Source organism: Homo sapiens, chromosome 11 (genome assembly GCF_000001405.40).
Source record: "Homo sapiens chromosome 11, GRCh38.p14 Primary Assembly".
NCBI lineage: Eukaryota > Metazoa > Chordata > Mammalia > Primates > Hominidae > Homo > Homo sapiens.
Window position 1 is genome coordinate 24,251,568 of NC_000011.10, and position 22,870 is coordinate 24,274,437.

The following is a 22,870-nucleotide window of genomic DNA, read 5'->3' on the forward strand; positions in this document are numbered from 1 at the left end:
CTAAAATCTGAATTATGTTGACGGCCCATGTGGAAATAGTGACCTGGAGAATTAAGTAGACAGAAGTCTTTGCTCTATATTCAACATTAATGATGTTGAATTGTTTGAGCATCTTCTAAAACAACAACAACAATCCCTTTTCATAATTTGTTAGCAGGAAGAATAATTTAGTTTCTTGCATTTTCAATCTTCATTGTTATGGCCATCACAGGGGCTGCAGGGCTCAAGGCTTTCCATAGTGGATTGTCAAATTTTACCCCAGATGTTATGGAACTCAAATCAGTCAAACATTTTTCGGACACTGACATCTTTGGACTTATATTTAAGAAAAGCTCATGCTCATTTAGTAACTTAATAAGAATTTAATGAGTCCCCTCTATGTCAATATTTTTATTCTAGTTGCCGATATGAGTGATAAAATATTTTCAAGGGTGGAACTAACAGTCCAGTGATAAAATAATTAAGACCATAAACAGCAAATTAAAAATTAATTGATTTATTTAATTACAGTAATGGCGAATGTCCCATGAAGACTTATGAAATGCTACAAATGTGTGTTACAGAAGAAGCTGGCCTGATGAGTGTGATGGCAGTGATTGGAGTAAAGGGGGAGAAGTAAAAGAGGGAAGTTTTTCATAAATAAAATTTCAGCTGAGAACTGAAAGTAAATCAGTTGAATTGCAGAGAAGGGAGAGAAGCAATGTATACTCCAGGTCAAAAAAAAAAAATTGCATGCCAAAGGCCCTCAAGTAAGTAAAACAAAACTTGGTTTATTTGAGTATCTGAAAAAAGAAAAATTTTCCTGGGGTATGCTGAACTGGAGAAAGCATGGCACTAATTAATGTATCCTGTTATTATGCAATTCCCTTCTCTCCCTCTGTATGCAAATCCACACAATCGCTGAAGCTGAGTTTAAATTATTTCACTTTCAATCAGCTGTCTCTGTCCTCTTTGGCCCAACATGATCAGTCTATCTTTAAATTTTTCTAACAATGTTTCTGTGTTCTTCTCGTTCTGAAGTGTTTGCATAAAAAGCCTCATATTTTTACTTACCTGTTTGTCTTAATTATATCTAGTTCCCCACTCATGCTGTCACCAGAGGATTTTGATCATTTCCTGCATTTTAATGTACTATCTTTGGCTTATGGCACATGTAGTTCTTTGCAAACACTGGGTTTTCAACTAATACTGGCCAAATTTGTGAATTGCCATTAATAACACATCTTAGATATATACAATACACATTGGATTATTCTATCAACAAATGTTTGTGAGCACCATCTCTGTTAGGCACTATGGTAGGCATTTGGGATGCAATGAGCTTCTTGTCTTGGCAAGTAGATGTTCAACATCACAATTATAAGTGTCCAGTTAGAGGAATTGCAAATGTGTTTGCCTATCTAAGAACAAAATAGATAGGGAGGGACAATAACGTACAGTAAGGAACTGTAAGACATGAAGCATGAAGTAGAAACAAGCTCACTGCCTTATCATTGTGAGTTAAGGTCCTGTGAGTACACAAGGGTCTACCTATTTCCTTTCTTCAACAGATACTTCTTGATGTATAGTATGCGTCATTGTTTTAAAAATAAGGGCTACATGAGTGAATGAACAAGTTTCACCCATAGGGAACTTGCATTATAGTTGAAGAAATCCTTAGCTGTGCCAAAATTGTAAGAATCCACATTCTATTTCTTATTCATTGGGCCTATACTGGACTCAGCCAGCATCCACTGCAGAGGACTAAGAAATATTCCAAAGAATGGAATAATGATTGCTAAAGATTTCATAGTATTATGACTTGGCATACTGTTTCCTTCTCAATAGCTGCAAACACTGAGATAGTTTAACACTGACCTACAGAGAAGCAGAGTGCAGAATAGAAGGAAGAAGCAATCACTGAGTTGCTTTCTCTTTAGGGAAAGCTCTCAAATGTCATTCCCCACATGTCACAGTGGCTGGAGTGTTTTTTTCAAGCTTGCCCTTTGGGGCTGTTCTTTGTGACCTGAGAATAACTACTGTTCTGTGTTCCTGGAGCTATTTCCCCCCTTAAGAGAACTATGACTCAAAGGCTTCTGTAATCTTTCTGTACCAGAAACAAAGGTTTTATCTCAGAAAGGTTAAGATGGCAGGTAGTTAGTACTGTATTTGCTTAACCTACTCAACTCCAGAAATGCCACGGAAGATGTGTGAGCCTTTAAGTAAACCTGAGCTTTTTCCAGTGTATGTGAGATGCCTCAAATGTAACATTTCATTAGGTTAAAAAAACAGTGAATGGTTTTGATTTCCCTGGAGCTATAAATGGAAATAGTCAATCTGGGTCATTATACTTAGTCTTTGAAAGCAAATATTTTCTCACTATGTCTACTCTTCCCTCCATATGATCTATACCCACAGAACTATTTTAGGAGTTACAGGTAAACTAAAATTTTTCTTGAATTAGGTACAACTGAACTTGAATGTTCATGAGATAAAGTAACTAAAATCATCTGATAATGATATTCAGAGTCCACAGAGCTGCTCCTCTTTCATGGCCTAGTTTTGTTCAGTTCACTTTAGATATCTTGGAATCATTGTTACCTCGGTTCACCTTTGTCTCCTATTTTTGTATTTCCTTGGTTCTTTCTAGTTTTATCTTCTGGCTTATATCAGGCAGGCTCAGCAGCTATTCATTATCTATTTATTTACTTATTCATTCAATAAATATTTTGTGTTCTATGTTCTGAGTACATGGGATATGACAATGAAGAAACTAGACAGAAATCTTTACCGTAATAAACCTTGTTATGTTACCTGTATTGGTCATCACCTTCATGGAATTTTATGTCCTTCTCCTTGTATCCAGAATGAGGCTTTCTCTTACTTTTTTTTTTTAATTTTCTTTTGATTTCTGCTATCTGCCAATACAACCTAAAAACTTATAGACATTTAGACACTTGCTTTTTTTGTCTTTATTTTCGCATTACACAATCTATTGCTTTATCAAGTTCTCTGAATAATTGGCCATCTGTGTATAGCACAAAATAACTGACAAAATACTTCTGGAAAAAAAAAGTATTGCCATTGAAAAACACAACCTTATGTTGGGATTTTCAAACTTCCTTTTTTGGAAAACTGTTAGAAAAATTCCCCTTTTTGTTTATTTTTGAAATGCTGCAGCAAAATCTATTTGCTAGAATGTCAGGATAACATAACGACCCCTCTTAAATAAAAATTAGAAAGTATTGCCCATCCTCAGAAACATTCTTCCATTTAGAATCTTTACTAAAAGCCTTTTTCTGGATAAGTTAAAGCTCAAAACTTGAGAAAAAACACAAGAAATAAAGGTATCAACGTCCATATAAGTACTATCTTCCTTTTTGATTTTGTTTTCTACTTCTAGATTTTGGTTTTGTGTTCCTTCAATTTCTTTCACTAGTAAACATAAACATACTATTGTATTTCAACACAACCTGTGAAATGTTTTATGATGCATATAAGTCCTCTTTTAAAAATATGGGACTTATGAATTTGCAACTTCTGAATTTTTTGATTTTACTACTGGAAGACTGTATTTAAACTATGGTTAGAAAGCAGTAGGATAATAAGCAACACAAAAAGAAATGGAGGTATAAATGATTATATAACTTGATAAGTTAAAAAAGAATAATAAAAATGATAATAGTAGTTGCAACTGTGATAATCATTTTGAAAATAAGAACTGTAATATCAAATATTTTTAAATTAGAGATATATTTTTATTAAAAGTCAATAAAAAAGACCTCATGATCTGCTCACCTCAGCCTCCCTAAGTGCTGGGATTACAGGCATGAGCCACCGTGCACAAATTTAGCAAAGAAATACAACATTTATTGTTGAAACAAACTCTTATAACATGGAGCACCAACATGGCCAAATTATATAAAGACAACACAAATCCAGATGATTTTGAGATTTAAAAAGCTTACATTGCATGTTGGTGAATCTGCAGCTCTTAGTTCCTAAGCACAGTTAATACTACTAGCTAGAATCCCAGAAAAGAAATATTTAAAATCGATGTGTTTGTTCTACAGAAATATGTCAAAAAATTTAAAGCAGTAAATAAATCCTTTAAAAATGAGTTGTTATGAAAATCTGGGTGTGTGTGTGTAATGACAGTCTAGCTGCAATGAGAGGAGGGCGATATGTCTTTATAATTTTATTCAGAAAACATGGAGTTGCAAATAAAACATGATTTTAGTCACAGAGAAGCTCTCATATGTAAATATAATGTTGTAGATGTGAATAATTAAATAAATATAGCAAACTGATTAATCTATAAAACCCAGAGTGCTAGACTTGCCTCTTTTCAGCTTTGATGTCAGAAAATAAGCTCAAAATGGGCACTCTACTGCTTCATGCAAAGTGCTGGTTTCCAGAAGAAAGATATTCAAGAGTTATGTGCTCTATCTATTCATTTATAAATGGACATTTAGGCTACTTTCACATCTTAACTCTTCTGAATAATGTCACAGTAAACATGGTGTTGTACAGCTATCTCTACAAGATTCTGATTCAAATAGTCAGATGGAGTAGTGGTTATGAGAAGCTGGAGAAAGGGGAAAATGAGTTGTTTTCAATGGTATAAAATTTTATTATGCAAAGTGAATAAATTCTAGAGTTCTGCTATACAACATAATGCCTATAGGTAACAGTACTGTATTGAAAACTTAAAAATTTGTTAAAAGGGTAGATTTTTATGTTAATTGTTTTTACCGTAAACAAACAAAAACAAAAGGGCATGAAGAAACTTTTGGAGATGATGAATATGTTTATTAACTTTATTGTGGTGTTAGCTTTAGGAATATATGCACATGCCCAATCTCATAAAATTATATACATTAAATATATGTAGTTATTGTATATTAACTATACATCAATAAGGCTATTTTTGGCCTGGTACAGTGGCTCACACCTGTAATCCCAGCACTTTGGGAGGTCAAGGCGGTTGAATCACCTGAGGTCAGGAGTTCAAGACCAGCCTGACCAACATGGTGAAACCCTGTCTCTACCAAAAATACAAAAATTAGCCAGGAGTGGTGGTGTGTGCCTGTACTCCCAGCTACTCAGGAGGCTGAGGCAAGAGAATGGCTTGAACCAGGGAGTGGAGCTTGCAGTGAGCCAAGATAGCTCTATCGCACTCCAATCTGGGTGACAGAGCGAGACTCTGTCTCAAAAACAAAAACAAAAAAACAAAAACGAACAAACAAACAAAAAAAATAGTTTACGAAAGTGACATATTTGAATGCATGCATGAATTTAATAGAAATGAACAAGACCATGAGAACAGACTAACATATGCCAGTGAAATTTATGAATTCAGATGCGGGGGAAATCTAACTTTGAAGAAGGGACTTTGAAATGCTCTTAAAAAAAAAAAACAGACTAGTAGAACAACTGTATATGCTTTAGAGAAACCATAATTACTTTCAAATTATTGATGTGAAGAAGTTCAATTGATTTTGAATTCCATCTTCATAAAAAATTTTAACATAACATTTTTAATGAAATATTACATATAAAGAAAAATTATAACCTGACACATAATTTAAAGAAATAAACTTAACCACATTTAGATTAATGGTAAGAAGGATATCCCCGACGATAAATAATTTGTTTTTCTTTTTGCTATTTTTGCTACATACTAGTGTCAAATTTATCACTGATGACAACTGGAAATAAAGTGAAAAGGTTATTTAAACAACCTTGATCAGAACTACATTTAACCATTACAAAAATAAAATCTGCATAAAATTATGTTCATATTAACAAGCCCCAGTTTTTCTTTTCAAAAATAAAAAAATTTTTGGAAATTTTATATAATTCAATATTTAATGTCTTCTTTAGTATTTATTTTTCTTATAATGGTATAAATTTTAAGAAAATGTGATAAGTTGTGTTATCGGCTTTCTTATTAATGCCTCCAAATTCCTTTTATTTCAGTTAAGTCTTCTAAGCAAATATTACTTTTCATAGGGATAATGATGTGAAAACTTTGAGTAATGCTGAAACAGTGTATACTGTTTCTCAGTTGTCCAGAAATAATAATTATATATAGGATACTAAATTGATTAGCAATGAAGAAATTATGTCAAAATACTTTTGTAAAGCCTTATAAAATAAGAATCTGAATCTTTTGGCAAAACCAAATGGAAACAAACAAACATTCACTTGCCCCAAGCCAAGTGAATATCTTTGTAGAAAATTGCCTTGTAATAGGCCATGCAGACTTGGAGTCTGAATCTAAATATATTGAGATTTAAATAAAAGTAAAATACTCTATATTAAAGTTCTAAACAAATGGGCTAGCAAATTTCTTTCAAACAGGCTTGAATAAATGGATTCAGAGAATGAAAGAGGTTGTTAACAATTTTATGAGGAAGATAGAAATAAACCAAGACTGTCCTGACCAAACCAAGAAATAAGGTCACCCAGCACAAATCAAAATAATAATAACAGTTAATTTACATCATGTTATACAAGACTGTTTTGTAGCAGAATGTCAAGACACCAGTCTCTTAATATGCTGTGTTCCAACAGGCACAAATCCCAAAGAATTCAACCCAAATGGTTCCCTATTGTGCAAAGTGATAGACCTGTTCTTACTCTAAGGCAGGCACACTTCTGAGGGCTGTACATTAAATACTTTATTCTCAAAGCAGTCCGAAGGTAGGTGCTATTCTTAACCCATTCTTCAGATGCAGGAACAAAGAGAGCTTGAATATCCTGCCAGAGACACACAGATAGTAGTGGTGCTGTGATTTGAATACAGGCAATGTAACATTCTATGAATGAGCTATATTGACTATTAATATTTTTCTTCAGTCTATTTTTTAGCAACAACCTGAGTATATGAAACTATGAGCTGCCAGTGCCTCCCTAGAATTTATTCCTTTCAAATACTTTCCATGGCATTACTAGGAAATATGCATGCAAAATATACTCAACTGATTTGAGAACATTTTACAAAGACTAGTTTGAAGCAACAGGTTTCTCGCCTATGAAAATTTTAGTTTGAAAGGTGATTCGAAATAAACAAATCACATGGTATATATTTTCTTAGAATTATTCTCTTCTATTTAGTATTCATGCTTTCTATTTCCAGACTCAATGAAGATGAAAGGAACACTCATGATAAAAGATTCATACACTCCCTCCTCCAGTCAGTTCAACAGACCATCCTTTTGAACTAATAGCACTCTCCACATGCTAAATGTGCTTACAATAAAATAAGTCCCTGAAGGAAGATTTTAAGTCAATCTTAGTTTAAAACTCAGGCCAAATATGAAGTAAACGGGCTTGCTTATAACTCTTGAGCCTGTGTGTTTAATACTCATATTCCCCATAATTTGTTTACCAGACTATTCTCATCCACAGATTAAATATGCAGATCACCCCAAGGGAAGAGTAGATGCACAATTGAAAGAAAGAATAACTGGTGAGAGAAGATGATCCTATGCAGAAAACAGCAAATACCTGAAGTAAGAGTGAGCATGTTTACAATTTGGGATGTTTTTATGAAAGCTGTTCACTTCCCAAACCATTGTCATATTATTAAGACTTCAAGCTTATAAAGAAAGTATAATTTTATCTACAAGACATACTTCCTTTGAGTAAGGTACTTTCATTATTTAGAAGATTTTCTGTGATTCCTAACCTAAATAAAAGCATATCATTTCTGTCTGTATATAAATCCTTTTTTATATAAATCAAGTCAGATAACAAACAAGTATTTCTGTTTGTCCATTATTACATCACATAAAAAGGACAAGATGGATTTTTATTAACTCTGAGTGTATTTAGAATGGTTTGGCTTAGAATATAGATTAGATGGAATACCAGAAAATTACTTTGGATCTCTAAAGAAGTATCTTCAGGGCCTTGAGAGGGATTAGCAGTCACACTAATGAGTGCCTGGAGAAATCCAGGGGCCTTAGGTGCTTGTCAAAGGAACAGGCCATAATCAATCTAGGCAACCTTGAAAGAGAGAGACAAATAAGAAAGATCCATGAAATTGCTTACTCCAGGAGACCTGACCTAGCATTAATATGTCATAAATAAAACAAAAATGGTTCCAAATAAGAATGTCAAATAATTATCACAGGAACTAATTATTTGGATTTTCAGGGATCAATTTTGAAGTCATGTTGCTTCTTATTCAGCAGCTCTGTGTAGTGGGCACCAAAGTGACTACCATAAAGATGCTTAATGTCACCACAGGAAAGGCCAGGAATCATCCAGCCTGCCCATAAAGTTCTATTGGAAGCCAGTGCTGTTTATTGTGTAGCACAAGCACACAATCTCTTCTAGAAACTCTTTAGAAAGCACTTACCCCACTGACATTGACAGGACAGTCTAGCAGACTCTGTGCTGTTACTGAGAGCTGTATTTCTTCAAAGGGCATTACTGTTTTTGGATTGTGAAATGCCTATTTTTAAAACATGGAAAATTCAGACAAAATATAGAAATAAGAAAGAATGCTGAAAGCACCTTGTACTAATAAAGAACAAATTCAATATTAGTACTTTTTCTCCAAGAGAAATAGAGCAATAGGACCTAACTTACATTTTATCCATTTTATTTAAATCTTTTTTTTTTTTTGCAAAGACTCTGTGGGATTTTAACAAATTTTTAGTTGTAACCATAACAAGTAAATCTAGTAATAAATGTTATAACGAGGTTTAAGTTTTTCTACATGTATTAAATGTGCTAAATATGCCACATGATCTAATAATCTTAATACTTTTAAAATGTAGCTAGCCATATACTTAAACCTGAGAGAATCCCTATTGCACATTGGCATACAATTAAAGGAAAAAACTATCATAAGAAAAACAATTAATAATATACTTGATAAAGAAAATGTTTTTTAAAAAGTCAAAGAAAGTCAAAGTACTAGCAGTTCTAGTATGACAAAGATGTACACAAGTGTGGGATTTCATATCTCGCTCTAGATAACTATGACTTTATAAGGAATAACAATAATGTTATTTTTAAAAACATACTTTTATAAATGCAAGTTAAATTTTATCAAATCCTAATGTTTTGAGAGCATAGAATGAATAGTTTTAGGGCAACGTTTCTCAAGTAAAATTTCAAAGTTTGGTAGCTTGACATACATTTTGAATAATTTTATATGGCTACCGAACAAACACGTAAAACTTTTGTAAATATCCCTCTATTCCCAGGTGCTTCTTTTAGGAAAATTACTTCATTGAATATTTGAATATTCTGTTGTGTCTCAGAATAGTTATATAGTCATCCCTGTGAATTTTCAGCTCTGAAGATAAATATCACATATGACAAGCTAACTGATGTGGTCCTACTTCAGGATCAATCATTTCACCCAGACTCTCAACAGCCTATATTGTGACAGAGAATCAAAGGTGCATCTAAAGCCTACTATAGCATCTTTGAAACAAGAAAGAAAAGACAAAAAAACATATTTTTCAGCAGTGTTTTTCTTCAGGGACATGAAAGAGAGCCATAAGCATGCCTATTGTAACAACAGTATATGTGAGCTGTGGTTCAACCTGGGCTCACAATTCAGAATTATTAAATACTTTCATAACCTAGAGGAAGGGGGGCAAGGGTAGCTATAGTTTGCATTAAAGGAATAAAATTAACAAAAATAAAGCTGTCTACAGAAAACATGCGTGTATGAGAGTGCCAGTCTCTATATAAATATTATTAGATATGTTTAATTTTATATAATGTAGATAAAAATAAATATAAATAAAATATTCATCAAGCATCTTAAGGGATCATCATGCACACGCTCAGTTTGGAAACCACTATATTACATAAGAGAAACGTATTCTTTAAGCACTAGCAGATTTTTATATCTAGCTATTGAATATATGTGTATATAATTTATATATGTTATTCCAATTTGGCAGTATAAATCAGATTGACAACAAGATAACATTAGTGAGCATCTTTAATTTGTAGTAAAGGGTTAATAATTCTAAGTGTCTGGATATTTCCATGGGTTTCAGAGAGTTTTGTTTTGTCTTCTAAACAGTCATTGAATTCTTTATTCATATCGGTTATACCTTAATCTGCAAGGCAAGCACAAGGCAGTTGGAAGTGTAATAGACTGGGTCTGGGCCTAGGTTCTAACTCTAGCTTTGCAGTTATTTTACCTTTTATTTATTTATTCAACAAAAGCTCCAGCCTAGACACTGAGATACAGTACTAAATAAAACATACCACTGTTCTGACATCACAAGACAATGAGCAATTCACTTCACAGCATTTGGTCTTATTTCCTTCATGGTTTTTTTCTACTAAATTCTGTATAGTTTTAGTGGCATATTCTTGGCATTTCAATTCCTGACATCTTGTGAATAAATAGTTTTTTCAATGACTAAAATAATACAATGAAGTGGAGAACTTAAAGTATGATTAGAACCACTGTCTTAGTCTATTCAAACTACCTTAACAAAATACTTGACACTGAGTAATTAATAAACAACAGAAATTTACTGCTCACAAATTCACAAATCTGGAAATTCCAAGATCAAGTCTCCAGTAGATTCAGTGTTTAGTGAGGGATCATTTTGTAAAGATGCTCCCTTCAATGTGCGTTTTCACATGGCAAAAGGTGGCAACAAACTCCCCCAGTCCTCTTTTATAAGGGCATCAATCCCATTCACAAGGGCTCCACCTTTATGACCTAATAACCTTCCAAAGACCCCACCTCTTAATACCAACACATTAGGAGATTAGTTTTCAACATATAAATTTTGGAGAAACACAAACATTCAGACAGTAGCAATACACTTTCAGCACAAATGTTCTATAAAACTAGTTTTCATAAGTAGAAACAAGCTCAAAGATTATCAGTAAATATGCTTTTCTGATTCTAGGGGAGTTACGTGATGCATATGTATATATATACGACACATATTAAAAGACAAGAGAGTTTCAAGGGGTGTATATCTGCTCACTAAAAGCATTCATAATAATTAAAATGTATTGAAAACCCAAACTGTATAAAGCCTTGTAGTTAGTAGAGAATTTATAAAAAATATACCTCATCTTAAGATATTATCAACAAATCCATAGAGTTAAAGGAGAATAATTCCAGATGTTATGTTTTGAAAATAATTTTTTATTCACTTCCCTGAAAGGATTTTTATCTGGTTCAAGTAAACCTCTTTGCGGAAATCTGAATTACTTTGCCAAATTAAATTTTTCAAGTTTAGTTCTAGAGGAATGCAATCAAGTAACAGCTCTAGTTTCAAAATAAACACTTTGACTCAGTTCTTTAAAAAAAAATTTCATTTGGATAGTTCTGAGTTAAAAGAAAAGATACACAAATTCACAGAAGACTATATTTCTGAATTCTACAGCTAAACATGTGAAAAGCATATAGGCCACTTATAATTAGGTTAACATCAATTTGCTTACTTATTGTTTTAAGGGGAGCTATGAGGCATGCAATAACCTTTGATGGTAGACTGTGATATGAATAGTAAAATTTTATCTAACAGCATGCTCAAATTTTATGTCAACAGGGAAGTCATGTATATTTATATTTGTGTGTGTGTGTTTCTGTCTATAGTAAGTACTGTCTTTCTCCATTTAGTCATACCTATATATTTTACCATTCGTATTTATAAATACAAGTAGAACTCCATTTGCCTATAAGTACATATACATAAGGCTCTTCTATCCAGCACGCTTGTTGAGATTTCAAAGGAAATGCTACTGAGAATAGAATTTCAAACTGAAATGCATCATAACACCAGTGTACCCATTTGGAAGCAAAAGTTGAAATAGTTCAACACTGAGCAGAATCTCGATATTATATACGTCTTACATCTAACTTCTAATTTGTTCACCACCAGTTATTGACATCTCCATAATTCTCATTCCATTCTATAAAACCCAAGTGATTTTTTTTTAGTAAAAAAATTATGCCTAATTTAACTTGATATTAACTACAACGACTCACAAACCTTTTGAGACAGAAGAAGCAACTTGTAACTAGTATGTATGTGTGTGTGGATGGATGGATGGATAGATTGATAGATGATAGATAGATACCTTGACTACACCTCAGATATTCTACTGATTCCATTGTTATTGAGAGAGCTTAAGCATCTATTTGAAACAAGTACTCAGAAAAACATTAGGAGGTAATTTCCTTACCTGAGGGAAGATGTAAGATTTTTAAAAGTTTAACAAGCGTAATAAGCTTAAAAATCTTATCAAGTTATAGTCCATCTTACTTAAAAAATACTTTTATGCATATTTGAATGTATTCTGATTGAAATAATTAGAATTGAAATAGGATTAAAAGAAAATGTGGCAAGCATCTATATTTTAGAACCAAGTATTTCGTAAGGTAAATTAAACTTTCTCCCATTACATATCTAATCTAAGATGATTATAAAAATAAATAAGAACTAGATTTAGATATATCTGAAAGGTAAATATTTTCAACAACAGATTTCTTTCAATATATGATGACATAAAAATATACTTTATTTCACAAATTTAAGCAAGTTTGACATGTCTAATATGTACCAGTTATTGGGCTTGTCATATTTAACACTATTGTGATCACAACAAAGATTCTGTCTTATAGATTCTTGCCATTTCTAGTTGAATAAAAATACACAACTACTCAAGGAATCACTCTAGTCAAAATAACAAGGAGAGGAGATGTACAGCTTTATATGAAAAAAGAATTGTGTAGTGCAGATAAAACATCAAATTATGGTAAAATATTTTCAATTACTACATCATAAATACTCATTGAATTTTCAAGAAAAGATTTTGAAAAGGAAGCTGTTTTTAAAAATTCAAATCTGGAATAAAAACTCTAGATTTCAACAGATTTGGAATTTCAGCAAGGGAGGCTGTGTAGGTAAAATGTGTTAAATAGAGAAGTAATCAAAGAAAGACTAATTTAAAAGGATTTGTTAAAAATATAAAGTTGATCATCCCCAAAATGAAAATACAAATGGAAATAGAAATTTGAAAGAACAACCATAATTAAACTAGAAATGGCAGAGAATAAAACAAAAATGCAGAAACAGTCATAATAACCAGAAAACATGAATTAAGAAGGCAGATGTCATGTCAAATATATTTTTGTGTGTACATAATAAATTCCTTATTTAAGATGTCAAAGATTCTTAACCCAGAGACTTAAAAGGCATCATTTATAACTCCTTCTTTCTTATCCTCCACCAAGTGTATCATTAATCCTTACAGATGTTCTTCACTTATATATTTAACACATGTGCATTTCTCCACACCTACCTCTTCTAACTTGTTTCGAGATTTTTTTTTTCCTGCAAAACTGCAATAGACTTGCTAACTGTTTTGTATCAATCAAAGGTGACCAGGCATTTATGGGTTCAGCTTCTGATGCACAAATGACTGTCTATTCTTTCCTCATTATATCACTAAAACCATATAATATGCTTAATCTGTGAAACTAAAGTTGAACGGTTAAACCATGAAATGTTGCATCATCTTGCTTGTAATTTAAAACTCAGGGACTTTAACAAATTTAGGTAACAGTCTGGTGATCAAGTAAAGTCCTATTAATGGATGGGATTCATTTGGATCATTCAGGTTGCAAACACAAGTTTGCTGAGTTTTTTGTTTCTGGAGATTTGAATTAATATACATAGGAAAGATAACCAAACAGTAAATGCAATGTTATTAAACCATAGTTTTCAGACACAATTTCTTCTGTGCTTTGTTATACCTCTTTATTTCCGTTGAGTGTTCTATACCTCTCTTAATGGTTAGGAAATAAAAAAGATTTCCAGCTCTTGGAATAATTTATTTTCTGATAATATGTATTGTCAACAACAACAGTACTAAGCCTCAGAGCATAACTAACACTTTGATACAGCCCAGCTTTGTTCCTTTACTGTATAAAGTTCAAGATTTATATTAAGAGGGACATCACGTACTTTTCTGTCTAAAATAAATTTATTCATGTGTATATGACTATGTTTGTGTGTTATGTTTCAAAGCAGTTTTGAAAGAAAATTGCTACTTTTCTAATTTTAATTCATGACAACCCTATATTCAGAGAGTTCTCTGAAATAACATATTGAACAAAGTAAGCTACCTGCTTACTGTGAATAAAAATAAAATAGTTCTAAGAGGGCAGAGCATGCTCCATAACAGTGTTAGTAAATGATATTAATTTAAAATATAGTATAATTTACTATATTTTAAGGAAATCATGATTACCATATTTATCATGGACCCTCTTTGGAGAGTTTAATTAAGAAAGTGATGGATGATGTATTCAGAAAGGAAAGCTGGTGTTGTTAGGGTAGTCATTCCATATTCCTTCCACTTGCCTTAGTTATGTAAACAGGTTCAGTGAATAGATCTCATCTACCAATGAAAAAAAAAGTATAAAAAAGAAAACTTAAGAATTTTTTTCTAATTAAATAATTAGTTTGGTATTTTCCCCATGACAAATGTCCCTACTAAGTGCCCATATTACCTTTCCATTACAAATATTAATAAATAACCTAGATTTTAAGGCTACTTTTAAATATGTACATAATAAAAATGATACAGAAGTTTAACAGCATATGAAAATACGTATGAGCACAAGAAAAAATATACATGCTATATAAATAGACAAAATTGTGTCTGTCTGTTATCTAAACACATCATTCTGAGGAAAGCCCTAGAAGAATCACATATGTACCATTGTTTGACCTTTACTGCTACTCGTAAATAGTAGTAATTTTTAGTATTACTAGTAAATCATTTACTATTACTAGTAAAAAGTGAATGTTTCTTCATCACCTCCTTGGATTCAAGGAAAACACACAGACACACACAAATGTAGAGAATTGTTCTAGTAGTGCAGACCACATTTTAAAAAGCTGTTTTATATTTCCTAGCAAATCAACTCTCTCTTGTGTTGAGATGACACCAGAAGAGGAAGAAATGCACAATGGTTAAAAAAAAAAAAATAAAATCGTGTCCATGTGTTCCTAGATGAATATCTCCTATTTTATGAGATGATTTCCTCTAATTGAGAATAAAAGTTTACTACCTCCACGATGAACCAAATCTAATAGCAAATGTTTAGATTTCCTCTCTCCCCTATGACTAGATCATAATCAATATTTACCTAATAGAAATAGTGACAAAATTGAATTATTGAATGCTACAACAGCCCTGTAATATTTCTTAATATTCACAATGGCCTTTGAATGCACAACACAACAATTATGAATTATAAACAGCTATAAACAATTATGAAGATGTGGTTTAGAATAGTCAGTGAGTGAAACCCAAAAATAGGAGAAATAAATGTGTTATTCTCTTGACTTGGCTCATATTTTAAGACCTTAATAGAACACTAATCTGATATTTAAAAACTGCCAAAGGAAGTTTTTAAAGATACCACCTAAAGCCTGAGAATAAGACATTAATATTGAGTTGAAAAAAAAAAAAATCACGATAATCCTTTTTAAATACCTTCAGTATTCATTCAAATCTCTGTTTTTTTGAGGCCTAAGGAGAAGAGTTAGAAGTAGTATAATGCCTTAGATTCTCCCCAAACAAGACTCTTATAGGTAAGAGGCCCAGCAATGCTGCTGTTTCGTGAGGTTGCCTAGCAACCTACTCCCCTGCTCCACAGTGGAGCCTTCTGAATGCATTAGTGTCAAGATCAACTAGCCTGCAGATCAATTACAAAGACAAAAAATGAAGACAAAAAATGAAAATGTAGGTGAAGTACACCATGGAGTAAAAGAGCATTTGGATATTACAGGGTAAAATTGTAAAATACCTCTCTTTGTATCTTTTCTTTTTTTGGAAGGTATTTTTATTTTTATTTTATTTTATTTTTATTTATTTTTTTTATTATACTTTAAGTTTTAGGGTACATGTGCACAACGTGCAGGTTTGTTACATATGTATACATGTGCCATGTTGGTGTGCTGCACCCATTTAACATTAGGTATATCTCCTAATGCTATCCCTCCCCCCTCCCCCCACCCCACAACAGGCCCCAGTGTGTGATGTTCCCCTTCCTGTGTCCATGTGTTCTCATTGTTCAATTCCCACCTATGAGTGAGAACATGCGGTGTTTGGTTTTTTGTCCTTATGATAGTTTGCTGAGAACAATGGTTTCCACCTTCATCCATGTCCCTACAAAGGACATGAACTCATCCTTTTTTATGGCTGCGTAGTATTCCATGGTGTATATGTGCCACATTTTCTTAATCCAGTCTATCATTGTTGGACTTTTAGGTTGGTTCCAAGTCTTTGCTATTGTGAATAGTGCCACAATAAACATACGTGTGCATGTGTGTTTATAGCAGCACTATTTATAATCCTTTGGGTATATACCCAGTAATGGGATGGCCGGGTCAAATGGTATTTCTAGTCCCAGATCCCTGAGGAATTGCCACACTGACTTCCACAATGGTTGAACTAGTTGACAGTCCCACCAACAGTGTAAAAGTGTTCCTATTTCTCCACATCCTCTCCAGCACCTGTTGTTTCCTGACTTTGTAATGATCACCATTCTAACTGGTGTGAGATGGTATCTCGTTGTGGTTTTGATTTGCATTTCTCTGATGGCCAGTGATGATGAGCATTTTTTCATGTGTCTTTTGGCTGCATAAATGACTTCTTTTGAGAAGTGTCTGTTCATATCCTTCGTCTGTTCATATCCTTGTTTGTTTTTTTCTTGTAAATTTGTTTGAGTTCATTGTAGATTCTGTATATTAGCCCTTTGTCAGATGAATAGACTGCAAAAATTTTTTCCCATTCTGTAGGTTGCCTGTTCACTCTGATGGTAGTTTCTTTTGCTGTGCAGAAGCTCTTTAGTTTAATTAGATCCTATTTGTCAATTTTGGCTTTTGTTGCCATTGCTTTGGTGTTTTAGACGTGAAGTCCTTGCCCATGCCTATGTCCTGAATGGTATTGCCTAGGATTTCTTCTAGGGTTTTTATGGTTTTAGGTCTAACATGTAAGTCTTTAATCCATCTTGAATTAATTTTTGTATAAGGTGTAAGGAAGGGATCCAGTTTCAGCTTTCTACATATGGCTAGCCAGTTTTCCCAGCACCATTTATTACATAGGGAATCATTTCCCCATTTCTTGTTTTTGTCAGGTTTGTCAAAGATCAGATAGTTATAGATATGTGGCATTATTTCTGAGGGCTCTGTTCTGTTCCATTGGTCTATATCTCTGTTTTGGTACCAGTACCATGCTATTTTGTTTACTGCAGCCTTGTAGTATAGTTTGAAGTAAAGATCTCAATAAAGAAAACTTTATCAATTACAAAAGTCACAAGCATTGTTGGGCTATAAGGAAAATCGGTGATCTTTTTGTATTGCATCTGGCAACCTCTGGTGTGACAAAGAAGATGTTTGGTTTTTTGTTTTGCTTCTTTTAAAATGCAGTTTTGTATGTTATAGAAACTTTGTGGAAATGATTTCTGTGATCATTAAGATGGTTTAAAATGACATATTAAGGAAGAAACTAGTCTATGGATTAAACAGCCACTCTATTCCTTTGCTTCTTAAGTTTTTTAACCTCTCTTTGATGCTATTAAGCAGGGGACCATGCAAATCAAGTGACAGTTAAGTTAAAACCAATCATATCCCAAGTCTGAATCATATCCCAAGTCTTGTTTTATCTATAAAACAAGAAGTTTGGAAGAGATGTTCTCCAGGTTCCTTCCAGCCATTTTCCACTTTTCTAGCCTACTATAATTTCTCAGTTTACATTTTCCAGAAATACTTTTTTTCTCATACCAGTAGTTCTCAAACTAAAAGATGGTCTCCATTTAAAGATCATAAAGCAAATTATCAAAATGTTCAGTGTTAATTTGTATTATTATAACCACAAAAGTAAAAAAATATTAATACATATTAGATATATGTAATAGCTCACTAGGGTTGCCACAATAAATTATTATATTCTTGGTGGCTTAAAAATAACATATATTTATTTTTTCACAGTTTTGAGTTTGGAAGTCTAAAATCAAGGTATTGACCTTGTTAGTTTCTTCTAAAGGCGTTAACAGAGAATGCATTTTACCCCTTTCTAATTGCTAATGGCTTTTACTATTCCTGGTTCCTCGTCTCGTAAATACATCACTCCAATCTTTACCTGCATCTTCACATAGCTTTCTAATTTGTGTCCTGATGTGTCTCAAATATCTTTATTCTTTCTTTTATTAGGATTCTGTTCTTTAGATTTACAGTACACCCTAAATCCAAGATGATCACATATCAAGATCCTTAATTATATCTGCAATGACTCTATTTCAAAATAAGGTTACATTCACAGGTATTGAGAGTTAAGGCTTGTAAGTATGTTTCTGGGAGTAGAAAATTTACTACAGTATGATTTCCTTAATATTTTACTTTATTATACAATTTGTAGAAAAAATCAATATAAGAGGGAAGTACTAGCAAAACTAGCAGGCAATAAGCTTCATACTGATATTTTAATATGGTAAACAATTTATCTTTGCTTTAATATATAAACAATAAAGTCTCTGATGTTATATAGATAACATATTTTTCTATTATGACTTCAACATGATGCAGAGAATAAGGTTTCTAATAATTATATTTTAGGAAGGGATAGCTCATACTTTAAAATCTCCCAGAGAGCAGTTGCGAATGCTTGTATAAATTAGACAAATCTTGGTAACACTCTAAAACTGTCTTTTTCTATGAAGAGAAGGTTAGCATTGCAACATATGTAATTGTCCATTGAGAACCAATAATAAATAAATGTCTGCATTGTTATCACAATTACTACAATTGATGGCATAAAGCAAATTGTTAAATATGAAGAAAAAATCTGCATCTTTATGTACATTTAACATACCAACTTGTTCTCTTTGCTTTACAAATTAATGTGGTAGATATTATTATCCTTATTTTGGATGAAACTGAGGCATATAAAAATTATATAACTTGTACAAGATCTCAAAGCCTGTATTTGGCTTGATTGCTATAGAACCAGATAGTTTTGTTTTGTTTAATTGGGTATACATACACCTCTGTGGTATCTAGCTCAACTGTTGTAAAGTCATTGCCAATTGTATTGGTTAGGGATCTCCAAAGAGACAGAACCAATAGACTATATAGAGGATAGAGAGAGAAACATATGATAGATAGATAGATAAGAAGGGATTTATTGAGAGAATTCTCTCACAAAATTATGAAAATTGAGAAATCCATTGATAGGTCGTCTGCAAGCTGGAGAACCAGGAAAGCCAGTAGCGTGGCTAAGTCTAAGTCTGAATGCTTCAGAACCAGGAAGGTGATGATCGAACTTTCAGTTTGAGGCCGAAGGCCTGAGAACTCTGCAGGCCACTGGTACAGCTGTGGATACCAAAGGCCAGAGAACCTGGAGTTCTAATTCTCAACGGCAGGGAAGAAGAGAGTCTCAGCTCCAGAGACAGATGGAGAATTAGCCTTTCTGCTGCCTTTTTTGTTTTATTCAGTCTTTTTGTTCTATCACAGCTCCCAGCTGATTGGATGGTGCCCACCACGTAGGTTGAAGGTCGGTCTTCTACTCAGTTTGCTGGTTCAAATGACAATCTCTTTTGGAAAGACCCTCATAGACATATCCAGATATAATGCTTTGCCAACTACTTGGGGGTACCTTAATATAGTCATTGACACCTAAAATTAACCATCACTTAAATCATGATATATCTTAATATGAATGTAATCATGAATGTAAATTGCCCACATTCTCTATTATTGGATATATTTACAAAATTCTAGCATATAATTATTCTCTCTATAGATTATTATAAAAATAAAAATACAGAATTAACAGTACATTCTATGGTGAATAAAAATTAAATAAAATTCATCTGTGGACATCATCAGGGGTCCATTGTTCTATTTCGGTGGCTTCCAAAGGCCAATGGGTCAATGGAGGATCACAGATATTTTCACTGACCTTTTGCAAAACAAAATATTTTAAAAATGTTACACACATTTGGTTATTTTATAGAAGAAAAATTATTCACTGTGTTTAACAACTCACATTAATAAGTAGATTATTGCAAGTTGGAATCTTAACATGTAATATAAAAATCTAACATTTATTGACACTTATTTAAATGTAATATATACTTTAAGTGCTATTACTCATGAAGTCTTCACAACTAGTTATAAGATGTGGGGGCCACTATTTTGGACTATGAGAATTGGAGTCACACACCAGGAATCATAGAGCAGAGCTGCTATAATGTCTGATGACGTACCTCTAGAAATTTGTAAATGAGAAAAATAAATTTCTGCATGCATGATCTCTGTTAATTTGGTTATTGTTTTACTGCAGTCTAAACTTATCTTCCCTGACAAAAGTAGTTATCATTCATTTGACAAATAAAAAGCCTATGCAAAGAGTTAAAATGACCAAGATCACACAGCTGATAAATACACATCTGGGATGGAAATGCAGCTGTCTGTAATGTTGAGACAACAGCACATACAGTCTTCTAATGGTTTCCCATTCTACGCAAATAAAAATAGAAAGGTAGATAATAAAAAGGCATGTTTCTAATGAGTGGAGTAATTTTTATAGGTTAATATTTCCTTTTCTCTGCATTTTCCAGTTAAAGCATCACTTAATTGGTTTACTATACAAGACCTATCATTGTTTAGAAAAAAATATATTTCATATGCATTATTTTTTATTTTTACATATCAATCTGAACAAATTTTAGTCCTACAATTTAAAACAAAAATGGATTTTTTGTATTAGTAAAAATAACGTGGCTTCATATAAGCAAAATATTTCAAATTTTTAGACAATGTCAACAGCAAATTCAATCTTAAATATGTTTTATTTATTACTCAAGCTTTCAAGTAATTTAATGCTTTAGAAATGGTATTTTAACATTAATATTTTTAACACAAAAATAAACATTCAAAAAATTTTAGCAAATTATAAAAAATGTATTCTGTCCATTTTTTGCTGTCAAAATTGCTATTAAATTAGCAACTTCTCATTTTTTTCATATTCTTATAAGTATTCTGCAATAGATCTAGAAAAGAACTGAAGCTATATTCATGATATGTTTGAGTCTAGTTCATTACTTCTTTGTACCTGAACTATTTTTTGGCATAGTTCACTAAGTTGCCATGACAATATGAATTTTAAAAATTAGACAAATATCTTTCTAGACTGTGTTTTTATTGTTGTTGATACCGTTATAGTGACTAAGAGTATTACATTGAAGTGAAATGGATGTGTATTTAATTCCAAGTGTACCAGCTGTTTGGCTTTGGGCAAAGTATTAAGGTTCCATAAGCCTTATTTTCTTCATCTGTAAAATTGTGATAATAGGACAGTTTACTACATAGGATTGCACTGTGTGAGTTAAATGAGAAAAATACACAAAAAGTTTTTGTCCAGGAACTTAATAAGCTCCTAGGATGTGCAGAGGCCCAAGAAACAGGGAATTCAAGACAGGGAGACATGAAGGATAAATTCCAGGGTGATGTAGGAAAGAAAATCCAAGAACATCAGCTCTGAGGAGGATATTGTCAGCCACCCTTCCAGTTGGGAGTAGGCCAGAAGCCTGGGTGAGGTCTTCATGAGAACGTCATTGGTAGAATAACTGATAGTTATGAAAATATTTCTTTGTTGTTTACAGTTCTGAGGGAGAGTCTGGGGAGGCTGAATAATGCACATATAAAAACCTAGGGGAATGGGAAGTGAGGGTGATAGTCATATTCTGATCTTGGGTAGGGATGAGGGAGAAAGGAAAGCAGAACAATCTTTCAGATGTACATCTTGAAGGAAGGTTGTGTGACGCCAGTGGGCTTACTTGGGGGAAGCTATATAAAAATTAACCCAGAACTTTTGCTTCTACTGTGTCCAGAGTTGGTAGGTTCTTTGTCTCATTGACTTCAAGAATTAAGCCGCGGACCCTCGCAGTGAGTGTTACAGTTCTTAAAGGCAGCGTGTCCAGAGTTTGTTCCTTCTGATGTTCAGATGTGTTCAGAGTTTCTTCCTTCTGGTGGGTTCGTGGTCTCACTGGCTCAGGAGTGAAGCTGCAGACCTTTGCAGTGAGTGTTACAGCTCATAAAGGCAGTGCAGACTCAAAGAGTGAGCAGTAGCAAGATTTAGTGCAAAGAGCTAAAGAACAAAGCTTCCACACCGTGGAAGGGGACCCCAGTGGGTTGCCACTGCTGGCTCGGCAGCCTGCTTTTATTCTCTTATCTGGCCCCACCCACAGCCTGCTGATTGGTCCATTTTACAGAGAGCCGATTGGACTGTTTTACAGAGAGCTGACTGGTCCATTTTGACAGGGTGCTGATTGGTGCATTTACAATCCCTGAGCTAGACACAAAAGTTCTCCATGTTCCCACTAGATTAGCTAGATACTGAGTGTCAATTGGTGCATTCACAATCGCTTAGCTAAACATAAAGATTCTCTAAGTCCCCACCAGACTAACTAGATACAGAGTGCCGATTGGTGCATTCACAAACCCTGAGTTAGGCACAGGGTGCTGATTGGTGTGTTTACAAACCTTGAGCCAGATACAGAGTGCTGATTTGTGTAGTTATAATCCCTTAGCTAGACATACAGATTCTCCAATCCCCACCAGACTCAGGAGCCCAGGTGGCTTCACCCAGTGGATCCCACCCCAGGCCGCAGGTGGAGCTGCCTGCCAGTCCCCTGCCCTGCACCCGCACTCCTCAGCCCTTGGGTGGTCTGGTGGGACCAGGAGCCCTGCAGCAGGGGGTGGCACTCGTGGGGGAGGCTCCAGCCACGCAGGAGCCCACGGTGGGTGCGGGAGGCTCAGGCTTGGCGGGCTGCAGGTCCCGAGCCCGGCCCCACGGGGTG

General features: G+C 33.6%; 1 long non-coding RNA gene across 1 annotated transcript; it reads right to left on the reverse strand.

The window, feature by feature from the left end:
* Positions 1-5,499: 5,499 nt before the first annotated feature.
* LINC02686 (long intergenic non-protein coding RNA 2686) lies at positions 5,500-15,782 on the reverse strand. The gene is made up of 4 exons (NR_187200.1): positions 15,502-15,782; positions 8,351-8,446; positions 7,869-7,995; positions 5,500-6,744 (listed from the first exon to the last, which is right to left on the reverse strand). It is a non-coding gene; the product is annotated as a long intergenic non-protein coding RNA 2686 (long non-coding RNA).
* Between the last annotated feature and the right edge of the window lie 7,088 nt (positions 15,783-22,870).